Below are 23,511 nucleotides of genomic sequence, written 5' to 3' on the forward strand. Positions count from 1 at the left end.
TTTGGGATTTTGATATGGATTACACTGAATCTGCAGATTGCTTTGAGTAGTACTGATATCTTTTTTTTTTTTTTTTTTTTTTTTTTTCTGAGACGGAGTCTCAGGCTGTCTCACTCTGTCACCCAGGCTGGAGTGCAGTGATCTCAGCTTACTGCAACCTCCGCCTCCCGGGTACAAGCAATTCTCTGCTTCAGCCTCCTGAGTAGCTGGGATTACAGGCGCCTGCCACCAAGCCCGGCTAATTTTTGTATTTTTAGTAGAGATACGGTTTCACCATCTTGGCCAGGCTGGTCTTGAACTCCTGACCTCGTGATCCACCCGCCTTGGCCTCCCAAAGTGCTGGGATTACAGGCGTGAGCCACCGCACCTGGCCCTGATATCTTAACAATGTTAATGCTTCCAATCCATGAGCATGGAGTGTCTTTCCATATATTTGTGTCTTCTGCAATTTCTTTTAGTAATGTTTTTGGCTTTCACTGTACAAGTCTTTTGCCTCCTTGGTTAACCTTATTCTTAAGCATATTATTATTTTTGGTGCTATTAGAAATGGAACAGTTTTAATTTCCTTTTCAAATCATTCGTTGTTAGTTATATAAAATTCAGAAATTCTTTTTTTTTTTTTTTTTTGAGACAGAGTCTTGCTCTGGTGCCCAGGCTGGAGTGCGGTGGCGCAATCTCGGCTTACTGCAACCTCCGCCTCCCAGGTTCAAACAATTCTCCTGCCTCAGCCACGCAAGTAGCTGGGATTACACGTGCACACCACCACGCCCAGCTAACTTTTTGTATTTTTAGTAGAGATGAGGTTTCACCATGTTGGCCAGGCTGGTCTGGAACTCCTGAACTCAAGTGATTCACCCACCTCAGCCTCCCAAAGTACTAGGATTACAGGCGTGAGCCACTGCGCCCAGCCAGAATTCAGCAATTCTATAAGTCTATGTTTGTGTATTGATTCAGCAAATCAGATATTGCCTTTCTGTTATAGAGGGTAAAGATTTATTTCTCTTAAACCCCGTGCCCTTATGTTCCAGCTTCCCCTTTCTTCCCACCTTCTGTGTATAAGTTGTGTCATGATTTTTAGTTAAACCAGTATTCAGTATTTATATTATTATGATTTTATAAGTATTATTTCTAGCTAAGCTATATAATATGCTATGATAATAGTTCCTTTGTTCAATTTTTGTTTTCCCTGGAGTTAATAATTACCTTGTTTTCTTAGTTTTATTTTATATAATAGACAGTATTTTTACATACCAGTTACTGTTCTTTTATTTTTTTTGAGATGGAGTTTCGTTCGCTCTTGTTGCCCAGACTGGAGTGCAATGGCGTGATCTCGGCTCACTGCAACCTCTGCCTCCCAGGTTCAAGTGATTCTCCTCCCTCAGCCTCCTGAGCATACCAGTTACTGTTCTAAGCCCTTTATAAAATTTAACTCACATAAACCTTCTAAAAACTGAGAGGCCGGATGCTTCATTACATTCCAGCTTCACTGGCCTTCTATTCCTTCCAAAGTCCCACCTTATAGCTTTTAACCGTGTGCTCCCTCTTTCTGGAATGATCTCTTTCATTCTCCGAATGGCTAGTTTCTTCTCATCCTTGAAGTCTTTCATACTTAAATGTCATCTTTCTGACTAGTCTAATGAAAATAGGCCACAGCCTTCTTTTTGTCTTTTTTTTGGTAGCCCATTTATCACAGTGGGTAATTATTAAATTATTTTATGATTATTTGATTAATGTCTCTCTCCCCACTAAATACTCCTGAAAATTTTATTAGGGCCAGAGCCATGTCTGGTTTAGCTAAGCATTTTGTCCTTGGTACCTAACGTAGTACCTAGTACTCTAAAGTGGGCATTGAATATTTATTGAATGAATAGATGTCAGCTCCTTTTATGTTTCAGGCAGCATGATAAGAGTTTTACATGTATGTATGTATGTATTTATGTATTTATTTGTATTTACATATATGTATATATTTATTTATTTATTGCAAAAGGGGATCTCACTTTCTGTCCCAGGCTGGAGTGGAGTGGTGTGATCATAGCTCACTGCAGCCTCAAACACCTGAGCTCAGGTGATCCTCCTGCCTTAGCCTTCCATGTAGCCGGGACTACAGGTGTACACTAACACACCCAGCTGATTTTTAAAAAACTGTTTTTTATAGAGACAAGGTCTCACTATGTTGCCCAGACTGATCTCGAACTCCTGGCTTCAAGTGATCCTCCCACCTCAGTCTTCAGAGTAGCTGGGATTATAGGCAAGAATAACCACACCTGGCTACCTGCATTTATTTTAATCCCCACAACAGTCCTATTTCATAGGTGTTGTTAACTGTCCCCATTTTATAGGTGAGGTCAAGCAACTTATCCAAAGTCACACAGCTAATACAAGACAATGGTAGAATTAAACCTAAATATTGGCTGGGCTTGGTGGCTCATGCCTGTAATCCCAGCACTTTGGGAGGTCAAGGCAGGAGGATCACTTGAACCCAAGAGTTCAAGACCAGACTAGGTAACATGGCAAGACTAAGTCTCTACAAAAAACTCAAATATTAGCCAGGTGTGGTAGCATGCACCTGTAGTCGCAGCTACTCGGGAGGCTGAGGTGGGAAGATTACTTGAGCCCAGGAATTTGGGGCTACAGCGAACCATGATTGTGCCACTACACTCCAGCCTGGGCAGCAGAGTGAGACCTTGACTCAAAAAAAAAAAAAAACCCCAAAACCGCTAAGTCTCTGCGACTTTTGAGCCAGTGTTTTAACCATTTTCTGTTGGTTAATGGGATTTATAGTCAAGAAAAATACTTTTTAAAAAATTGAGTAAACATTGATTCCTTGCCTATTCAGTTGCTGAATGAACAGTGAAAAATTAAGTTAGTTATATAAAAAGTGAATCTGATTTTCCCTCATTTGTAAAATGAAGACATTAATTAGGAATGAAATTGATTTACTTTAACTCAAATTGAATTACTATTAAATTATTATTTTACAAATAATAGGATTTGCAAACTGGTAGGGCTGTACTCTAACCTTTACCCCACTATTTCAATTACCAAAAATAATATTTGCATAGCTCTTAAAGATTGTTGGGGTTTGAGGGTTTCAATTGGAAGCACTCCTCTTACTTCAATCCAGTTGAGAAATACGAAAAAGTTTGACAGAAATAAAGTAACACTTACTACTAATAAAACTAATATTCAAGAAGATAGCTTATATTTGTGGGCTAGTAGATGTTCTAATACTGAATCCAGAATTAGACAGATTTATCCACCTAAATACAAGCAGTACTTAAAAACCAAACAAAAACCTATGCACTTCTTCGTGTGGGCACTTACCCATGTAAAATTTGACCAGTTCAGAGTAGCAAAGCTGAGTGTATACTCTCTGCAGCTAGCTGGATCTCAAAATAGGAAAGAAGGAGCTGTGTTTTTCTTCTAGTCACTAAGAAGGGAGGGGTGATATGCTAAACGCTTGGCTGTCTACATTGAAAGAAACATCTGGAGTAGGGAATAAGTGTTTTTCCCTAAGATGATAACAATCCAGAGAGAAGCAAGAGTCAAAAAATAAAATAAACATAAAAAATTTTAAAAGATGATACAAGATTCTCTTGATTGGGTTCCATTTTCACTTATTAGATCAATGCTTAAATCTAGTAGATTTATTTTTTTTGAGACAGGGTCTCACTGTCATCCTGGTGGAGTGCAGTAGCATGATCACCACTCACTACAGCCTCAACCTCTGTGGACTCAGGTGATCCTCCCACCTCAGCATCCAGAGTAGCTGGGACTACTTACGGGCACATGCCACCATGCCCAGCTAATTTTTGCATTTTTCTTTCTTTTTTTTTGTAGAGACAGAGTTTCGCCATGTTGCCCAGGCTGATGTCAAACTCCTGGGCTCAAGGGATCTTCCCACCTTGGCCTCCCAAAATTCTGTGATTACAGGCATGAGCCACCGCACCTGGCTCTAGTAGACTTTTTGATGATTCAGGTAAAATGGTAAACTAAATCCCTTTACCTGTTTTTTGGTGTCATTTTAGACTACTGATTTGAGCATATTTAAAGTATGGGTTTTTTTTTTTTAAAAATGGGGCTTATAGTTAACGAAAACCATTGACTGTCCCTGTGTTTCCTTTTTTTTTTTTCTTGTTTTTCTTTTTTTTTTTTTTTATTCAGGGTTTCACTGTGTTGCCTAGGCTGGAGTGCAGTGGCCCGATCTTGGCTCACTGCAGCCTCAACCTCCTCGGCTCAAGTGATCCTCACAGGTCAGCCTCCTGAGTAGCTAGGACTATAGGTGCACACCACTATGTTAGGCTAATTTTAAAATTTTTTTGTAGAGGCAGGGTCTCCCTGTGTTGCCCAGGATGGTCTCAAACTCCTGGGCTCAAGCAGTCCTCCCATCTCTGTCTCCCGAAGTGTTGGGATTATAGCCGTGAGCCACCATACCTGGCCTCTTTATTTATTTTTTAACCATCCCATATTTCATTTCTTTTTATTATTTTTATTTATTTATTTATTTATTTATTGAGATGAAGTCTCACTCTGTCACCCAGGCTGGGGTGCAATGATACAATCTTAGCTCACTGCAACCTCCGCCTCCTGGGTTCAAGCAATTCTCCTGTCTCAGCCTCCAAATTTCTTTTTTGAAAAATTTTATATAGAGACAGTATCTCACTGTGTTTCCCAGGCTGGTCTCAAACTCCTGGCCTCAATGATTCTCCTGCCTTGGTTTCTCTAAGTGTTGGGATTACAGGCATGAGCCACCACACCCAGCCCCATACTTCATTTCAAACTGTCCATGAAGGCCGGGCGCAGTGGCTCACGCCTGTAATCCCAACACTTTGGGAGGCCGAGGCGGGTGGATCACCTGACGTCAGGAGTTCGAGACCAGCCTGGCCAACATGGTGAAACCTCATCGCTACTAAAAATACGAAAAAATTAGCTGGGCGTGGTGGCAGGCGCCTGTAATCCCAGCTACCTGGGAGGCTGAGGAAGGAGAATCACTTGAATCCAGGAGGCAGAGATTGCTGTGAGCTGGGATCATGCCATTACTCTTCAGCCTGGGCAACAGAGCAAGACTCTGTCTCAAAAAAAAAAAAGTACTGAGAGTCACCTTTTTTTTTTTTTTTTGAGATAGTCTTGCTCTGTGGCCCAGGGTAGAGTACAGGCTGGTCTGGAACTCCTGACCTCAAGGATCCACCCGCCTCGGCCTCCCAAAGTGCTGGGATTACAGACATGAGCCACCACACCTGGCCTAGAGTCACCTCTTTTTTTTGGAGGCGGGGGTGGAGTCTTGCCCTGTCCCCCAGGCTGGAGTGCGGTGGTGCAATCTTGATCTCAGCTCACTGCAACCTCCACCTCCCAGGTTCAAGTGATTCTCCTGCCTCAGACTCTCAAATAGCTGGGATTACAGGCGTGCGCCACCACGCCTGGCTAATTTTTGTATTTTTAGTGGAGATGGGGTTTCACTATGTTGGCTAGACTGGTCTCGAATTCCTGACCTTAAGTGATCCGCCCACCTCAGCCTCCCAAAGTGCTGGGATTATAGGTGTGAGCCACCATGCCCGGCCATAGAGTCACCTTTTAAAACCAGCTATAGGCCAGGGGTGGTGGCTCACGCCTCTAATCCCGGCAGTTTGGGAGGCCAAGGCAGGGGGATCACAAGGTCAAGAGTTCGAGACCAGCCTGACCAACATGGTGAAACCCCATCTCTACTAAAAATACAAAAATTAGCCAGGCGTGGTGTCGCATGCCTGTAATCCCAGCTACTCAGGAGGCTGAGGCAGGAGACTCGTTTGAACCCAGGAGGTGGAGCTTGCAATGAGCCGAGATCATACCACTGCACTCCAGCCTGGGCAACAGAGCGGGACTTTGTCTCAAAAAAAAACCCATCTATGCTGGGCAGTTATGTGGCGTGTATTCTCTGCCTCAGGCTCTGTTTTAGAGATGTCTTTCTTGTTTTACATTGTTGTTTTTAGGAAGAGGAGTTGCAGGAAATATTTGTTTCTTTCTCTTACATGATTTGAGCTTCAGTAAAATATATTTATCCTGTGACTGACTTTTCTACCTGGAAATGAAGTAGAGTGATGCCACCTAGGCTGAATTCTATGCCAGTTCATGGTAACGTCTGGTAACCTAACGTCTCAAGATAGTTTTAGTGGTTGGAATGTCTTCTTCTGTCTACCCATCCTCATCACATTTTGTTGTTGTTGAGACAGTCTTGCTCTGTTGCCATGCTGTAGTGCAGTAGTGCAATAATGGCTCAATGCATTCTCAGCCTCTCAAGTTTAGTGATCTTCCCACCTCCTGAGTAGCTGGGACTACAGGCACATGCCACCATGCCCAGCTAATTTTTAATTTTTTTTTTTTTCTTTTTTGTAGAGCTGGGACTTTGCCGTGTTGCCCAAGCTGGTCTTGAACTCCTGGGCTCAAGCAATCCACCTGCCTCACACTACCAAAGTGTTAAGATTCTAGGCATGAGGCACCACACCTGGCCCTCATCACATTTTTTTAAACTATGTATTTAAATTTCAATAGTTTTTGGGGTACAGGTGGTTTTTGGTTACATGGATAAGTTCTTTAGCAGTGATTTCTGAGATTTTAGTGCACCTGTCACCTGAGCAGTTTACACTGTACCCAATATGTAGTCTTTTATCCTTCACACTCCTTCCAGCCTTCCCCTCCCAGTCCCCAAATTCCATTATATTACTCTTGTGCCTTTGCATCCTCATAGCTTAGCTCTCATTTATAAGTGAGAACATATAACATGCGGTTTTCCATTCCTGAGTTACTTCATTTAGAATAATGGCCTACAGCTCCATCCAAGTTGCTGCAAAATACATTATTTTGTTCCTTTTTATGGCTGAGTAGTATTCCATGGTGTATATACACCACATTTGCTTTATCCACTTGTTGGTCGATGAGCACTTAGGTTGGTTCCGTATCTTTGCATTTGCAAATTGTGCTGCTATAAACATGTACCTCATCACATTTTTATAACAGCTCTATTGAGATATAATTCACACATCATACAGTTTAAAGTTCACACATCATACATTTAAAGTATACAATTCAGTGGCTCTTAGTATATGCAGTTTTGCATCCACTACCATAATCAATTTTAGAACATTTTATTATCCCCAAAAGGAAATCCTACCCACTTACCTATCACCACTTAATCCTCCCATTGCTCCTCTCCCATTGCCCTAAGTAGTCACTAATTTACTTTCTATATCTATAGATTGCCCTATTCTGGACATTTTATATAGATGGAATCATGCAACATGTGGTCCTTTGTGATTGGCTTCTGTCTCTTTGCATAATGTTATTGGGCTTACTTCACATTGTACCATGTATCAGTACTTTCTTCCCTTTTATGGCTGAATAAATATTTCATCATATGAATATATCATATTTTATTTATCCAGTTATCAGTTGATAAACATTTGTCTTCTTTCCACTTTGGGCTATTATGAATAGTGCTTCTGTGAAATTTGTGTACAGGTTTTGTGTAAGCATATGTTTTCTTCCCTTTCTTTTCTTTTTTTTTTTTTTTTTGAGACAGGGTCTCACTCTGTTGCCCAGGCTGGAGTGCAGTGGCACAATCTTGGCTCACTGCAATCTCTGCCTCCCGGGTTCAAGTGATTCTTATACCCCACCTTCCGAGTAGTTGGGATTACAGGCATGCACCACCACACCTGGCTAATTTTTGTACTTTTATTTATTTTTATTTTTTTTTGAGACAGAGTCTTGCTCTGTCGCCCAGGCTGGAGTGCAGTGGTGCGATCTCAGCTCACTGTAAGCTCCACCTCCCGGGTTCACGCCATTCTCCTGCCTCAGCCTCCTGAGTAGCTGGGACTACAGGCACCCGCCACCATGGGTTATTATAAATGTATAATGCATTATAAAATAATACATTATAAAAAATAATAATACATTATAATACATTATAAATATAATGTACAATATATTGTACATTATAATGTAAAATATAATGTATAATATATTGTACATTATAATGTAAAATATAATGTATAATATAATATGTATAATAAAATAATATAAAATAAATGTATATTATATTTTATATACAAAAAATATAATTTTTTTGTATTTTTAGTAGAGACAGGGTTTCACTGTGTTAACCAGGATAGTCTAGATCTCCTGACCTTGTGATCCCCCTGCCTCAGCCTCCCAAAGTACTGGGATTACAGGCATGAGCCACCGTGCCCAGCCTAGTTTTTGTATTTTTAGTAGAGACAGAACTTCACCATGTTGGCCAGGCTGGTCTTAAACTCCTGGCCTCAAATGATCCGACTGCCTCAGCCTCCCAAAGTGCTGGGATTACAGGCTTGAGCCACCACACCTGGCCCTGTGTGGGCATGTTTTCAATTCTCTTAGGTGTATACCTAGCAGTGGAGTTGCTAGGTCACATGGTAACTTTATGCTTTAAACATTTGAGGAACTGCCCAACTATCCTCCAAAGCAGCTGCATCGTTTTGCAATGCCATAAATGGTATACGAGGTTTCCAGTTTCCAATTTCTTTACACCCTTACCAGAACTTATCTGTCTTTTTTATTATAGCCATTCTAGTAGGTATAAAGTGATAGCTTGTTGTGATTTTGATTTGCATTTCCTTGATGGCTTTCCATTAAAAGTTTATTATTCTGGGCCGGGTGCGGTGGCTCACACCTGTAATCCTAGCACTTTGGGAGGCCAAGGCGGGTGGCATCATTTGAGGTCAGGAGTTCAAAACCAGCCTGGCCAACATGGTGAAACCCCATCTCTGCTAAAAAATATTTTTAAAATTAGCCAGGCATGGTGGCGGGTGCCTGTAATCCCACCTACTCAGGAAGCTGAGGCAGTAGAATCGCTTGAACCTGGGAGGCAGAGGTTGCAGTGAGCTGAGATCGCACCACTGCACTCCAGCCTGGGCAATGAGAGCGAAACTCCATCTGAAAAAACAAAAATGAAAAAAGTTTATTGTTCTGGCTGGGTATGGTGGCTCATGCCTGTAATCCCAGCACTTTGGGAGGCCAAAGTAGGAGGATTGCTTGAGTCCAGGAGTTTGAGACAAGACTGGGCACATAATGAGTCTCTGTCTCTATTTAAAAAAATAATTAATTATTGCTCTGCTTATCCTTTCAAGGCCCAAGTGTCTTTTTTGAGAGACTTCACCCTCAGGAATTAATTGTGTCTTCTTTCATATTCTTATACCATTAGCACAAATATTTTGTTCTGCTACTTTTCTTTTCTTTTTTTTTTTTTTTGAGACAGTTTCGCTCTTGTTGCCCAGGCTGGAGTGCAATGGCATGACCTCAGCTCACTGCAACCTCTGCCTCCCAGGTTCAAGCGATTCTCCTGCCTCAGCCTCCCAAGTAGCTGGGATTACAGGTGCCCACTACCACGCCTGGCTAATTTTTTTTGTATTTTTAGTAAAGACGGGGTTTCACCATGTTGGCCAGGCTGGTCTTGAACTCCTGACCTCAGGTGATCCACCCACCTTGGCCTCCCAAAGTGCTGGGATTACAGGTGTGAGCCACCGTGCCCAGCCCATTCTGCTACTTTTCTAGATTGTAAGCTCTAGTTTGTGAACTTGTTAGTGACTCCTTGTGGATGTGCATTTAAATTTATTATGTACCTCCCTGTGGAGCATGTTAATAAATAAATATATTATGAAATACGTCACTCATACACCATTCATCTATGAGTCCCCAGAGCATCAAGCAGTGTTTGTACATAGTTGGTATTCAAATATTTGCTTGGCTGGATGTGGTGGCTCACACCTGTAATCCCAGAACTTTGGGAGGCTGCCAAGGTGGGCAGATCACATGAGGTCAGGAGTTCGAGACCAGCCTGGCCAACATGGTGAAACCCCATCTCTACTAAAAATACAAAAATTAGCCGGGCATGGTGGCGCATGCGTGTAATCCCAGCTACTTGGGAGGCTGAGGCAGGAGAATTGCTTGAACCTGGGAGGCAGAGGTTGCAGTGAGCTGAGATTGTGCCACTGCACTCCAGCCTGGGCAACAGAGTAAAACTCTGTCTCAAAGAACAAACAAACAAACAAATATTTGCTGAATGACTGAAATAGTGCAAAGGATCTCATGGGTAATTATTATGGGGTCTGTTACTTCTCAGAGAAAGTGGACTTTCTCTTATTAGGTGATACAATGACTTGGAACCCAGGAAATAATGTATTTTAGGCAAACGTTCAGTTATGTTATATGTCCTGGAGACCACTGGCTCCAGGAATATGTATTGTGGATCATCCACATTCCCGTTGCATTAGGAATTTTGATGTTAGGCTGCTGGATTGTGTATCTGTGAGACTTTTTAGGGATTTATTAACATGATACACAATTAGCAAACCATGTGTTTATTTCACTCATTTTAACAAATATCCATGCCTATTATGTGCCAGGAACTTAGCTAGGTATCAGATGTGGGATTGAGTTTTCTACTGCTCTGGCAGTTCATAGTTAAGGGCCCAGGGTGAGGATGACTTTGATGGCAAATGAATGGATACAGGATTCATAAATTTTATGAACCTAAACTAAATGAGCACTTGATCGGAGAGCTTAATTTTCAGAAATGCAACTTCTTTATTTGTTTTGATTTGTTTTCTTGAGTCAAAGTCTCACTCTGTCACCCAGGCTGGAATGATCTCGGCTCATTGCAACCTCCGACGCCCAGGTTCAAGTGATTCTTGTGCCTCAGCCTCCCGAGTAGCTGGGATCACAGATGTGCACCACCACGTCTAATTTTTTTATTTTTAGTAGAGACGGGGTTTCACCATGTTGACCAGGCTGGTCTTGTACTCCTGACCTCAAGCGATCCACCTGCCTCTGCCTCCCAAAGCGCTCAGATTACAGGCTTGAGCCACTGGGCCGGGCCAGAAATACAGCTTCTTTAAAGACAATGTTTTACTTATACTAGATTATAATTACAAGTAGCTCGTCTGATTGGATCATTCTCTTAAAAGATCTGATGAAAACCTAGTGATTGGGAAGTAGGCATTGTGCCACCCTCCTTCTATCATTATAATCTCTTGAAAGAGAGCAAATGGAAGGACACTCTCTTTTCTCCTAGTTTCATGCGACTCAGTAAGACAGGAAACATGAAGTTTCTGCTACAGGTACAGGGGAATTCGATTTTTCTTTTTCTGGGTGAAAGATGAAGGAGTTATATATTTTTATGTCCACGTCCCCACCAGCCTTTCCCTCAGATTAATGAATGTTCTGGGGAAGGGAAGGATAGGACTGTATTATCACTCATACTAGTTTGAAATGGTTCTCAAGGGCCATCAGTCTTATGTCAGGCCCTATGCTAGAAAATGAAGAGCCAGGCAAGGTGCGGGGGCTCATGCCTATAATCCCAGCACTTTGGGAGGCTGAGGCGGGCAGATCCACCTGAGGTCAGGAGTTCGAGACCATCCTGACCAACATGGAGAAACCCCGTCTCTACTAAAAATACAAAATTAACCGGGCGTGGTGGTGGGCACTGTAATCCCAGTTACTCAGAAGGCTGAGGCAGGAGAATCGCTTGAACCCAGGAGGCGGAGGTTACAGTGAGCTGAGATCATGCCATTGCACTCCAGCCTGGGCAACAAGAGCGAAACTCCGTCTCGCAAAAAAAAGAAAATGAAGAGCCAGATGTTTTCCTTAATCCTCCTATACTATGGTGGATTTCATAAACTGCAGCAGATTCTAAATCTTAAATCTCATTTGCTATTTATTGATATGTCCTAAATGTCATTTTCATGTGAGAATCAATGTCAGGGTTATTAGAAGACATGAATTGGCTGAATTGTCAGTTCTCCAGGTTTCTCTTAAGAAAGGGATAGACTAGACCAGGTGCAGTGGCTCATACCTGTAATGCCAGCCCTTTGGGAGGCTGAGGTGGGCAGATTGCTTGAGCTCAGGAGTTTTGAGACCAGCCTGAGCGACATGGTGAAACCCTGTCTCTACAAAAATACAAAAATTAGCCAGGTGTGGTTGCATGTGCCTGTAGTCTCAGTTACTCAGGAGGCTGAGGTGGGAGGATCACTTGAGCCTGGAAGGTTGAGGCTACAGTGAACTGTGATCATGTCATTACATTCCACCCTGCCTGGGTGACAGAGTGAGACCCTTTCTCAAAAAAACAAAACAAAACAAAAAAAGGCCAGGCATGGTGGCTTTACGCCTGTAATTCCAGCACTTTGAGAGGCCGAGGTGGGTGGATCACATGAGATTGGGAGTTTGACAGCAGCCTGGCCAACATGATGAAACCCCGTCTCTACTAAAAATACAAAAATTAGCTGGGTGTGGTGGCACACATCTGTAATCCCAGCTACTTAGGAGGCTGAGGTAGGAGAATCGCTTGAACCCAGGAGGCAGAATTTGCAGTGAGCCGAGATTGCGCCATCGCACCCTAGCCTGGGTGACAGAGCAAGACTCTGTATCAAAAAAATAAATAAATAAATAAATAATAAAAGGAAGGGAGGAAGGGAAGGGATAGGCTGAGGCAGGAGGATTGCTTGAGGCCAGGAGTTCAAGACCAGCCTAAACAACATAGCAAAAAATTTAGAAATCAGCCAGGTATGGTGGCATGCATCTGTATTCCTAGCTACTTGGGGGACTGAAGCAGGAGGATCACTTGAGCCCAGGAGTTTGAGGCTGCAGTGAGCTATGATCGCGCACCACTGCACTCCAGCCTGGGTGACAGAGCAAGACCCTGTTTCAAAAAAAAAAAAAGAAAAAAAAAAGGGATAGATCTCTGCTCTAACATCCATCAATTTGCTTCACTCCTTTGAATGGCATGCGGTTTTATTTGGCTCCTAGAAAACGAAACCTTGCAGGTTTTTACTCATAACCTTGGTTTATGCTCATGAGGTGGAATGGCGGAAGTCATTTGAATTAGTGGTATTTAGAAGAGGACTCATAATTGTACTGTGCCCCTCATGATTTCAAGATTTAAGCAGAGCCATCACATGTGGCCTAAAATCTTAGATGTCTGGGATGATATTAGATTTGCTTTTAGAAGTAAGGGATGGTAGCATATCATCATGTAGCAAAGAAATATGTAAAGAAATCCAATAAAAGAGTATTCTAGGTATGAGTCTTCTTATGAAGTAGACTGGAAGTGAATGAGCAACATTAATGGGTTTATATAGAGAGAAATGACATGATCACATATACTTGAGAAGGCTAATGCTAGCTGCATTATTGAGGGTGGTTTGGAGGTGTAGGAGAACAGAGGCAGTCAGACAAGTTAAGAGATATTAGAAATAAGGGAGTTCAGGAAAAGGTACAGAAATTAATTTTAGACTTGCAGAATTTGAGATTACCTGCTTGATGTATATATGTTGAATGCTTTCAGAATAAACATGGGTTAATTCATTCACTTAGTAAACATTTGAGTACTTGAGGCCAGGCATGGTGGCTTACACCTGTAATCCCAGCATTTTGGGAAGCCGAGGTGGGCAGATCACCTGAGGTCGGGAGTTCAAGACCAGCCTGGCCAACATGGCAAAACCCAGTCTCTACTAAAAATACAAAACTTAGCCGGGCATGGTGGCATGCGCCTGTAGTCCCAGGTACGTGGGAGGCTGAGGCAGGAGAACCGCTTGAACCCAGGAGGTAGAGGTTGCAGTGAGCCGAGATCGTGCCACTGCACTCAGCCTGGGTGACAGAGGAAGGCATGAAAAGCCTGGTAGTGTGATGACGAGTCTTGAAGTATGATTTATTAACTAAAAGCTAATGTATTGCCTTAGAAACGTAGGCATGTAAAGGAAGTAATGTTTTTAAAAAGTTCTAGTATTTCACTGATTTTTTTGTGTGAAATGCAGGAATTTCAGTTTTATTCCCTGGAGGTGGGAAGTAGTCTCAAGGCTGGGGCTTTTTTGACTTTGGATCTGCCAGTGAAACCTAGACAGTACCCACTTGGTTACCAAGACAGAAAAGGAAACTTTGATTGATTATTCAAATTCAAAGCAGGATGCTAGGGAACAGCAGATTTAAGGTTAGTTGGATGACTGGAATTTAGCATATAAAGATGTGTGAAGACACCCGTGTGGAAAGGACATTTCTATTCCCAGAAGCATCACTCCCTTCTCAGAGTGAGCAGCCACACGTAAAAGCAGAAGGAAAGCAAGAGAGGTAGGATAACTGAGATGGTAGATATAAAATCCTTAGCACAGGCCAGGTGCAGTGGCTGACACTTGTAATCCCAACACTTTGGGAGGCGAAGTCAGGAGGATCCCTCAAGCCCAGGAGTACGAAACCAGCCTGGGCAACATAGCGTGTCTCTACAAAATTAAAAAATGTAGTGGCAAGTGCCTGTAGTCCCAGCTACTCGGGAGGCTGAGGTGGGAGGCTTGCTTGAGCCTGGGAGGTCAAGGCTGCAGTGAGTCATGATCATGCCACTGCACTCCAGCCTGGGTGACAGTGCAAGACCCTGTCTCAAAAAATAAATAAAATACTTAGCACCATATACAACAAGTGCCAAATATCAGTAATAGTTATTCTTTTAAAATTAAGAGTCCTTTTTTTTTTTTTTTTTTTTTTTTGAGACAGAGTCTCGCTTTATCCCCCAGGCTGGAGTGCAGTGGTGCACTCTCGGCTCACTGCAACCTCATCCTCCCAGGTTCAAGCAGTTCTCCTGTGTCAGCCTCCTGAGTAGCTGGGATTACAGGCGCCCAGCTAATTTTTGTATTTTTAGCAGAGACGGGGTTTCACTATGTTGGCCAAGCTAGTTTCCAACTCCTGACCTTATGTGATCTGCCTGCCTCGGCCTCCCAAAGTGCTGGGATTACAGGCGTGAGCCACTGCACCCTGCCAGGAGTCTTTTTTGAGACAGAGTATCACTCTATTAAGCCATCCTCCCACCTCAGTCTCTTGAGTAGCTGGGACTGCAGCCATGCACCATCATGCCTGGCTAATTTTTGTATTTCTTTTTTTGTGTGTGTATGTGATAAAGATTATTCTGTCGCCCAGGCTGGAGGGCAGTGGTGTGATCTCTACTCACTACAACCTCCGCCTCCCAGGTTTAAGCAATTCTCCTGCCTTAGCCTCCCCAGTACTAAGATTATAGGCGCACACCACCAAGTCCGGCTAATTTTTGTACTTTTAGTAGAGATGGGGTTTCACCATGTTAGCTAGGCTGGTCTCAAACTCTTGACCTCAGGTGATCTGCCCACGATGGCCTCCTAAAGTGCTAGGATTACAAGCATGAGCCACTGCACCCAGCCTAATTTTTGTATTTCTTTTAGTAGAGGCGAGGTTTTACCATGTTGCCCAGGCTGGTCTCAAACTCCTGGGCTCAAGTGATCCACCCGCCTTGGTCTCCCAAAGTGCTGAGATTACAAGTTTGAGCCACTGCATCTGACGAAGAGTCTGTAAAAATTGAGTCTTTTTTAAAAAAAGAATTCTTGTAATTTAATTTCTTTGTTTTTTTTTTTTTTTTGAGATGGAATCTAACTCTATCACCCAGGCTGGAGTGCAGTGACACGATCTCGGCTCACTGCAGCCTCCGCCTCCTGGCTTCAAGCGATTCTCCTGCCCCAGCCTCCCGAGTAGCTGGGACTATAGGCGCATGCCACTATGCTCGACTAATTTTTGTATTTTTAGTAGAGACAGGGTTTCAGCATGTTGGCCAGGCTGGTCTTGAACTCCTGTCCTCAAGTGATTCACCCACCTTGACCTCCCAAAATGCTGGGATTATAGGCGTGAGCCACCACACCCGGCCGAATTCTTCTAAAATTAGAACGAAGGACAAAATTCTCCTTCCTTTGCAGATATAGATAATTCACCCATATTGAGCTGTCATCTGTCTGCAGAGGCTTGATGTTTCCCCTATCAGCTGTCAAGGATCCAGGAGAACTTGAGATGCCTTTGTGGAAAGCATATTTAAAGATTTAGAGCTTTCTCTTCACAATAGAAAAGACATGGAATCAACCCAAATGCCCATCAATGATAGGCTGGATAAAGAAAATCTGGTAAATATATACCATGGAATACTATGTGGCCATAAAAAGGAACAAGATTATGTCCTTTGCATGGACATGGATGGAGCTGGAAGCCATTATCCCCAGCTAACTAATACAGAAACAGAAAACCAAACACTGCATGTTCTTGCTTATAAATGGGAGCTGAACAATGAGAACACATAGACATAGAGAGGGGAACAACACACACTGGGGCCTGTTGTATGGACAGGCAGGGTAAGAGCATCAAGATAAATAGCTAATGCATGTGAGGCTTAGTACCTAGGTGATGGGTTGATAGGTGCAGCAAACCACCATGGCACCTGTTTCCCTATATAGCAAACTCGCACATGTATCCTGAAACTTAAAATAAAATGTTTTAAATAAATAAATAAAATAAAATAGTAATATTAACAGTGGTAGTGGCGGTACTAAACAGCTTAGTTTTTTCATGTAGTAGTATATTTTTAGTATCCTTCCAGGAAAAGATACATGGATGTGCCATATTATTTTTAATGGCTTACATGGTACTCCTTTTATGTATGCACTATAATTTATGTAACCAGTTTTCTCATTGATGAGTATATGCTTTTTCAGTATTTTACTATTATAACGAATGATGCAATGAATATCCTTGTACATATATATTTGTGCACATATATAAGCATCCCTACAAGTGGAATTTCTGAATAAAAGGATATATACACTTTAAAAAAAAAAGATTTAGGGCTTTGAGGCAGGCAGCCAAGTACCTGGATACCTACTTAGTGAGCTGGCCCTCAACATCTTGAGGACTACCTCTCTCTGACTCAGAAAGTTACTTTTGTTTAAATTATATAGCAATTCCTTCTGTTTTGTTTTTTTTTAATTGTCTAGGACTGAGACTGAGATCTTTCAGACATAATATTAAGAAGACCTTGGTACAAAATTAGCCAGGCATGGTGGCACATGCCTGTAATCCCATCTACTCGGGAGGCTGAGGCAGGAGAATCACTTGAACCCAGGAGGCGGAGGTTGCGGTGATACAAGATCGCGCCATTGTACTCCAGCCTGGGCAACAAGAGCAAAACTTGGTCTCAAAAAAAAAAAAAAAAGGAAGAAGAAGACCTTGGCCAGGTATGGTGGCTCATACCTGTAATCCAAGCCCTTTGGGAGGCTGAAGTGGGAGGATTGTTTGAGGCTAGGAGTTCAAGATCAGCCTGGGCAACATAGCAAGACTCCGCCTCTATGCATTTTATTTTATTTTGAGACCAGGTCTCACTCTGTCACCCAGGCTGGAATGCAGTGACACGATCTCAGCTCATGCAGCCTCCACCTCCTGGGCTCCAGTGATCCTCCCACCTCAGTCTCCTGAGTAGGTGGGATTACAGGTGCCTACCACCATGCCCAGCTAATTTTTGTATTTTCAGTAGAGATGGGGGTCTCACCATGTTGCCCAGGCTGGTCTCAAACTCCTGGCCTCAAACAGTCCCCTCACTCAGCCTCCCAAAATGCTGGGATTACAGGCATAAGCCACCACAAATGTTTTTTAAAATTAGCCATGTGTGGTGGTGTGTGCCTTTAGTCCTAGCTACTTGGGAGGCTGAGGCAGGAAGATCACTTGAGCCCAGGAGTTTGAGATTACAGTGAGCATAATCATGCCACAGCACTCCAGCCTGGAAGACAGAGCTAGACTCTGTGTCTTAAAAAAAAAAAAAAGGAGAGAGGGAGTGAGAAATAACCTCAATTCCCTATAAATTGGTGGTGTAGTATTTAAATAATACTACACAGTGGCTCACTCAGGCCTGTAATCCCAGCATTTTGGGAGGCCAAGGCTGGAGGATTGCTTAAGCCCAGAAGTTCAAGACCAGCCTGGGCAACATAGCGAGACCTGAAAAATAATAAATAAAGGATAGAGAATTATGCTGTAAGATACCCTATAAAAATCTCTGGGGATCATATGATCTAAAGTATTTAATGTAAAAGTATGTCACTGTAATCTCCTCTTATACTAAACATGACTTTGTCTTTTAGCTTTTTTTTTTTTTTTTGATGACAGAGTCTCACTCTGTCACCCAGGCTGGAGTGCAGTGGCGCGATCTGGGCTCACTGCAACCTCTGCCTCCCGAGTTCAAGCGATTCTCCTGCCTCAGCCTCTGGAGTAGCTGGGATTATAAGCACGCACCACCACACCCAGCTAATTTTTGTATTTTTAGTAGAGACAGGGTTTCACAACGTTGGCCAGACTGGTCTTGAATTCTTGACCTCAGGTGATCCACCCGCCTCAGCCTCCCAAAGTGCTGGGATTATGGGTGTGAGCCACCTTGCCTGGCCTGTCTTTTAGCTTTTAAGCAGCTGCTGAGAACTAATACTAACCACATTCTGAACTATATTTAAGGCCAAAATAACATGAAAGAAGTATAGAGGTAAAACTGCTCCCTTGGTAGTTCACTTTATCAGTGATTGAATGGAGCTGAGAAGGCAGCTCATTCATGATGATGATATTAACTGATAATATTAACTGATGATATTATTTATTCATCAATAAAGTCACTATGGATTCAAAGATAGGCAACTCAGACAATTTTCTGCCTTTATGGAGCTTACAGTCAGCAAAAACACTGTGGGACTGGTCCCTCTAATCAGGAGGTAAATTCTTTAGGCTTTTTGCTCTATAGTAAGCCATTGCCTACCCTAGCCTTCATCTCTCTATCAATTTGGAAATAAACGCATTTATGATGCTCTCTTGTTGAAGAATTAGAACTTCCTCAGCTGAGAAACATAAGAAGGGAATCCATGGTAGGGTTCTGGAGAAACCATAGCTTCTTTTTATTCTTCCCTTCTCCGGTAAGAATATGTCAGTTCCCTGGGTGCTCATACGTATTACCCTTTTCTCTCTTACATATTATAGGTAAACATATTATTAGTTTACAGGGTCTTTGTCTCCAAAGTGTTTTAGGAAGCCAGATAAGCTTTACTTAGGGGCTTTCTTAACCATTTCTCCCCCCTTGTATTCTCTTACCCTTAAAAGTGAATATTTTTCCACCATTTTTCTTTGGTGTCAAACCTATGCAGCAATTTCAGAAGGTACGTGAGAATAGCAAGAGATAAAAGTTGTTTTATAGTAAGCAATGGCTTACTATAGAGCAAAAAGCCTAAAGAATTTACCTCCTGATGAGAGGGACCAGTCCCACAGTATTTTTGCTGACTGTAAGCTCAATAAAGGCAGAAAAGTTGTTTTCTTCTGAGCCGTATCTTCTTTTCTAAGAATTTTTTCAGGCCTTGTAGTAAGTTTATTATTGACTAAGTCATATTTTTAAACTATAGCTAAGACCTTAGTATTAAAACCAAGATGGTAAGCATGGCAGCAAACCAATAGCCTCTTTTTTCTTTTCTTTTCTTTTTTTTTTTTTTGAGACGGAGTTTCGCTCTTGTTGCCCAGGCTGGAGTGCAATGGCGCGATGTCAGCTCACCGCAACCTCTGCCTCCCAGGTTCAAGCGATTCTCCTGCCTCAGCCTCCTGAGTAACTGGGATTACAGGCATGCACCACCACGCCCGGCTAATTTCGTATTTTTAGCAGAGACGGGGTTTCTCCATGTTGGTCAGGCTGGTCTCCAACTCCCGATCTCAAGTGGATCCACCCGCCTCAGCCTCCCAAAGTACTGGGATTACAGGCATGAGCCACCTCGCCCGGGCTTTTTTTTTTTTTTTTTTTTTTTTGAGACGGAGTCTTGCTCTGTCGCCCAGGCTGGAGTGCAATGGCGAGAACTCATCTCACTGCAAGCTCTGCCTCCTCCTGGGTTCACACCATTCTCCTGCCCCAGCCTCCCGAGAAGCTGGGACTACAAGCACGCACCACCACGCCCAGCTAATTTCTGTATTTTTAGTAGAGACGGGGTTTTGCCATGTTGGCCAGGATGGTCTCGGTCTCTTGACCTCATGATCCGCCAGCCTCGGCCTCCCAAAGTGCTGGGATTACAGGCGTGAGCCACCAGCTGCCTCTCTTCAATTTATTTATTTCCCCAGTAACCCTTGTATTCTTGTTTGGACAGTCCTGGCATCACTGATACTTTCTTTCAGAAACATTATCTCACATTGAGAATGGGGATAGATGAACGCCAACTGAGGCAGGTGGTCTCTTCATCTGCTTGTGCTTGGCACATAGTATGGTGCTACTAAAGTTGCTTTCTTTTTTTCCCTCCCTCCCTCCCTCCCTTCCTTCCTTCTTTCCTTCCTTTTTCTTTTTCCTTTTTTTTTTTTTTTTGAGACAGAATCTTACTTTGTCACCCAGGCTGGAGTGCAGTGGCACGATCTTGCTTACTGCAACATTTACACCTCTGCCTTCCAGGCTCAAGTGATCCTCCCACCTCAGCCCTGTGAGTATCTGGGACTACAGGTGTGTGCCACCATGCACACCTAATTTTTGCATTTTTTTTTTATAGATGTGGGGTTTCACCAGGTTGCCCAGATTGGTTTTGAACTCCTGGGCTTGAGGGATCCGCCTGCTTCAGCCTCCCAATTTGCTGGGATTACAGGCTTAAGCCACTGTGCTTGGCCTCTTTGTTTTTTTAAGAGTTAGGGTCTCACTATGTTGCTCAGGCTAGTCTCTAACTCCTGGCCTCAAGCCAACCTCCCACCTCAACCCCCTGAGCAGGTGGGATTACAGGCTTGAGCTACCGCGCCAGCTGACAGTTGCTTTTATTATCATTGTTACTGTTGACATCGTGGCTATCATCATCATCACCCTCATCGCTGACAGACCTACAGTCTCATATTCAGAGAAGCAGCTTTGTTTTCTCAGCTAAGGATCAATAATAGCAACTCCTTAGAGATAAAGAAGGACATTTTTTTTTTGGAGACAGAGTCTCGCTCTGTTGCCCAGGCTGGAGTGCAGTGGCACAATCTCGGCTCACTGCAAGCTCTGCTCTGCCTCCTGGGTTCACGCCATTCTCCTGCCTTAGCCTCCCTGAGTAGCTGGGACTACAGGCGCCCGCCACTAAGCCTGGCTGATTTTTTTGTATTTTTGGTAGAAACGGGGTTTCACCGTGTTAGCCAGGATGGTCTCCATCTCCTGACCTCGTGATCTCCCCACCTCGGCCTCCCAAAGTGCTGGGATTACAGACGTGAGCCACCGTGCCCGGCCAAGAAGGACATATCTTATTTAATGATCTCCAGCAGTGAACTCCTTATTCTAAACTCAGGAACTGTGATTAAGAATTTAGGTCACGGCCGGGCGCGGTGGCTCATGCCTGTAATCCTAGCACTTTGGGAGGCCAAGACGGGCGGATCACGAGGTCAGGAGATCGAGACCATTCTGGCTAACACGGTGAAACTCCGTCTCTACTAAAAATACAAAAAATTAGCCAGGCGTGGTGGCGGGCGCCTGTAGTCCCAGCTACTCAGGAGCCTGAGGCAGGAGAATGGTGTGAACCTGGGAGGCAGACGTTGCAGTCAGCCAAGATCGGGCCACTGCACTCCAGCCTGGGCAACAGAGCAAGACTCTGCCTCAAAAAAAAAAAAAAAAAAAAAAAAAGGATTTAGGTCACAATCTTCTTTTTTTTTTTTTTTTTGAGACGGAGTCGCCCTCTGTCACCCAGGCTGGAATGCAGTGGCACGATTTCAGCTTACTGCAACCTCCGCCTCCCAGGTTCAAGCATTTCTCCTGTGTCAGCCTCCCAAGTAGCTGGGATTACAGGCATGTGCCACCACGCCTGACTAATGTTTGTATTTTTAGTAGAGACGGGGTTTCATCATGTTGGCCAGACTGGTCTTGAACTCCTGACCTCAAATGATCCACCCGCCTCGGCCTCCCAAAGTGCTGGGATTACAGGTGTGAGCCACCGTACCCGGCCATAGGTCATAGTCTTCTTGACTGCGTTTTATCTTTATGAAATATATATTTATCACAACCTTCATAATTTTTTTTTTTTTTGAGACGGAGTCTCTTTCTGTTGCCCAGGCTGGAGTGCAGTGGTGCAGTCTCGGCTCACTGCAACCTCTGCCTCCCGGGTTCACACCATTCTTCTGCCTCAGCCTCCTGAGTAGCTGGGACTACAGGTGCATGCCACCACACCTGGCTAATTTTTTGTATTTTAATAGACAGGGTTTCACCTGTTGCCCAGGCTGATCTTGAACTCCTGAGCTCAGGCAATCCACCCACCTCGACCTCCCAAAGTGCTGGGATTACGGGCGTGAGCCACTGCACCCTGCCTCAACTAATTTTTGTATTTTTTGTAGAGATGGGGTCTTGTTATATTGCCCAGGCTGGTCTCAAACTCATGGGTTCAAGCAATTCTCTCACCTCAGCCTCCCAAAGCGCTGGGATTACAGGTGTGAGCCACTGTGCCTGGACCAGTGTATTATTATTATTGCAGAACTAGTAATTAAATGGAAATTTCAAAGTGATTCTTTTTAAAATTTATTTAACTTTTATTTTAAGTTCATGGGTATATGTGCAGGTTTGTTATACAGGTAATCTTGTGTCATGGGGGTTTGTTTTACAAATTATGTTGTCACCCAGTTATTAAGCCTCATGACCTATTAGTTATTTTTCCTGTTCCTCTCCCTCCTCTCACCCTCCACCCTCAGACAGACCCCAGTGTGTATTGTTCCCCTTAATGTAAATATGTGTTCTCATCATTTAGTTCCCACTTTATAAGTGAGAACATGTGGTATTTGGTTTTCTGTTCCTGCATTAGTTTGCTAAGGATAATGGCCTCCAGCTCCAACCATGTTCCTGCAAAGGACAGGATCTCATTCTTCTTTATGGCTCCGTAGTATTCCATGTGTATATGTACAATCTTTTCTTTATTCAGTCTACCATTGATGGGCATTTAGGTTGATTTCATATCTTTGCTATTGTGAATAGTGCTGCAGCGAACATACACATGCTTGTGTCTTTATGATAGAATGATTTCTATTCCTTTGGGTATATACACAGCAATGGGATTGCTGGGCTAAATGATATTTCTGTTTTTAGGTCTTTGAGGAATCACTACATTGTCTTCCACAATGGTTGAAATAATTTACACTCCCACCAACAGTGTATAAGTGTTCCCTTTTTTCCATAACCTCATAACCTCACTAGCATCTGTTATTTTTTTACTTTTTAATACTAGCCATTCTGACTTTTGGGAGATGGTATCCCACTGTGGTTTTGAGTTGCATTTCTTTCTTTTTTTTGAGATGGAGTCTCGCCCTATCACCCAGGCTGGAATGCAGTGGCGTGATCTCGGCTCACTGCAAGCTCCACCTCCCAGATTCACGCCATTCTTCTGCCTCAACCTCCTGAGTAGCTGGGATTATAGGCGAGTGCCACTGCACCTGGCTAATTTTTTTTTTTTTTTTGCATTTTTAGTATAAACGGGGGTTCACCACGTTGGTCAGCTGGTCTTGAACTCCTGACCTCGTGATCCACCCCCCCCCTCCTTGGCCTCCCAAAGTGCTGGGGTTACAAGGGTGAGCCACCGCGCCCGTCCTGCATTTCTTTTCCAAACGTGCTGTCGCCCAGGCTGGAGTGCAGTGGCGCGATCTCAGCTCACTGCAAGCTCTGCCTCCCGGGTTCACGCCATTCTC

The 23,511-nt window shown here is 43.3% G+C and overlaps 1 protein-coding gene across 12 annotated transcripts in view; it reads left to right on the top strand.

The window, feature by feature from the left end:
* The window catches only part of RBMS2 (RNA binding motif single stranded interacting protein 2), a 75,789-nt gene that overhangs the window by 18,002 nt on the left and 34,276 nt on the right, over positions 1–23,511 (top strand). Inside the window, exon 2 of one of the 12 annotated variants that reach the window (XM_047429297.1) lies at positions 3,844–3,982. The exons of the other annotated variants lie outside the window; for them this stretch is intronic. Within the exon in view, the coding sequence (XP_047285253.1) occupies positions 3,974–3,982 (9 nt within the window). The 5' untranslated portion in view covers positions 3,844–3,973. The remainder of the gene's footprint in view (positions 1–3,843; positions 3,983–23,511) is intronic. 12 annotated transcript variants of the gene reach the window in all.

The sequence above is a fragment of the Homo sapiens genome, chromosome 12 (assembly GCF_000001405.40).
Source record: "Homo sapiens chromosome 12, GRCh38.p14 Primary Assembly".
Lineage (NCBI taxonomy): Eukaryota > Metazoa > Chordata > Mammalia > Primates > Hominidae > Homo > Homo sapiens.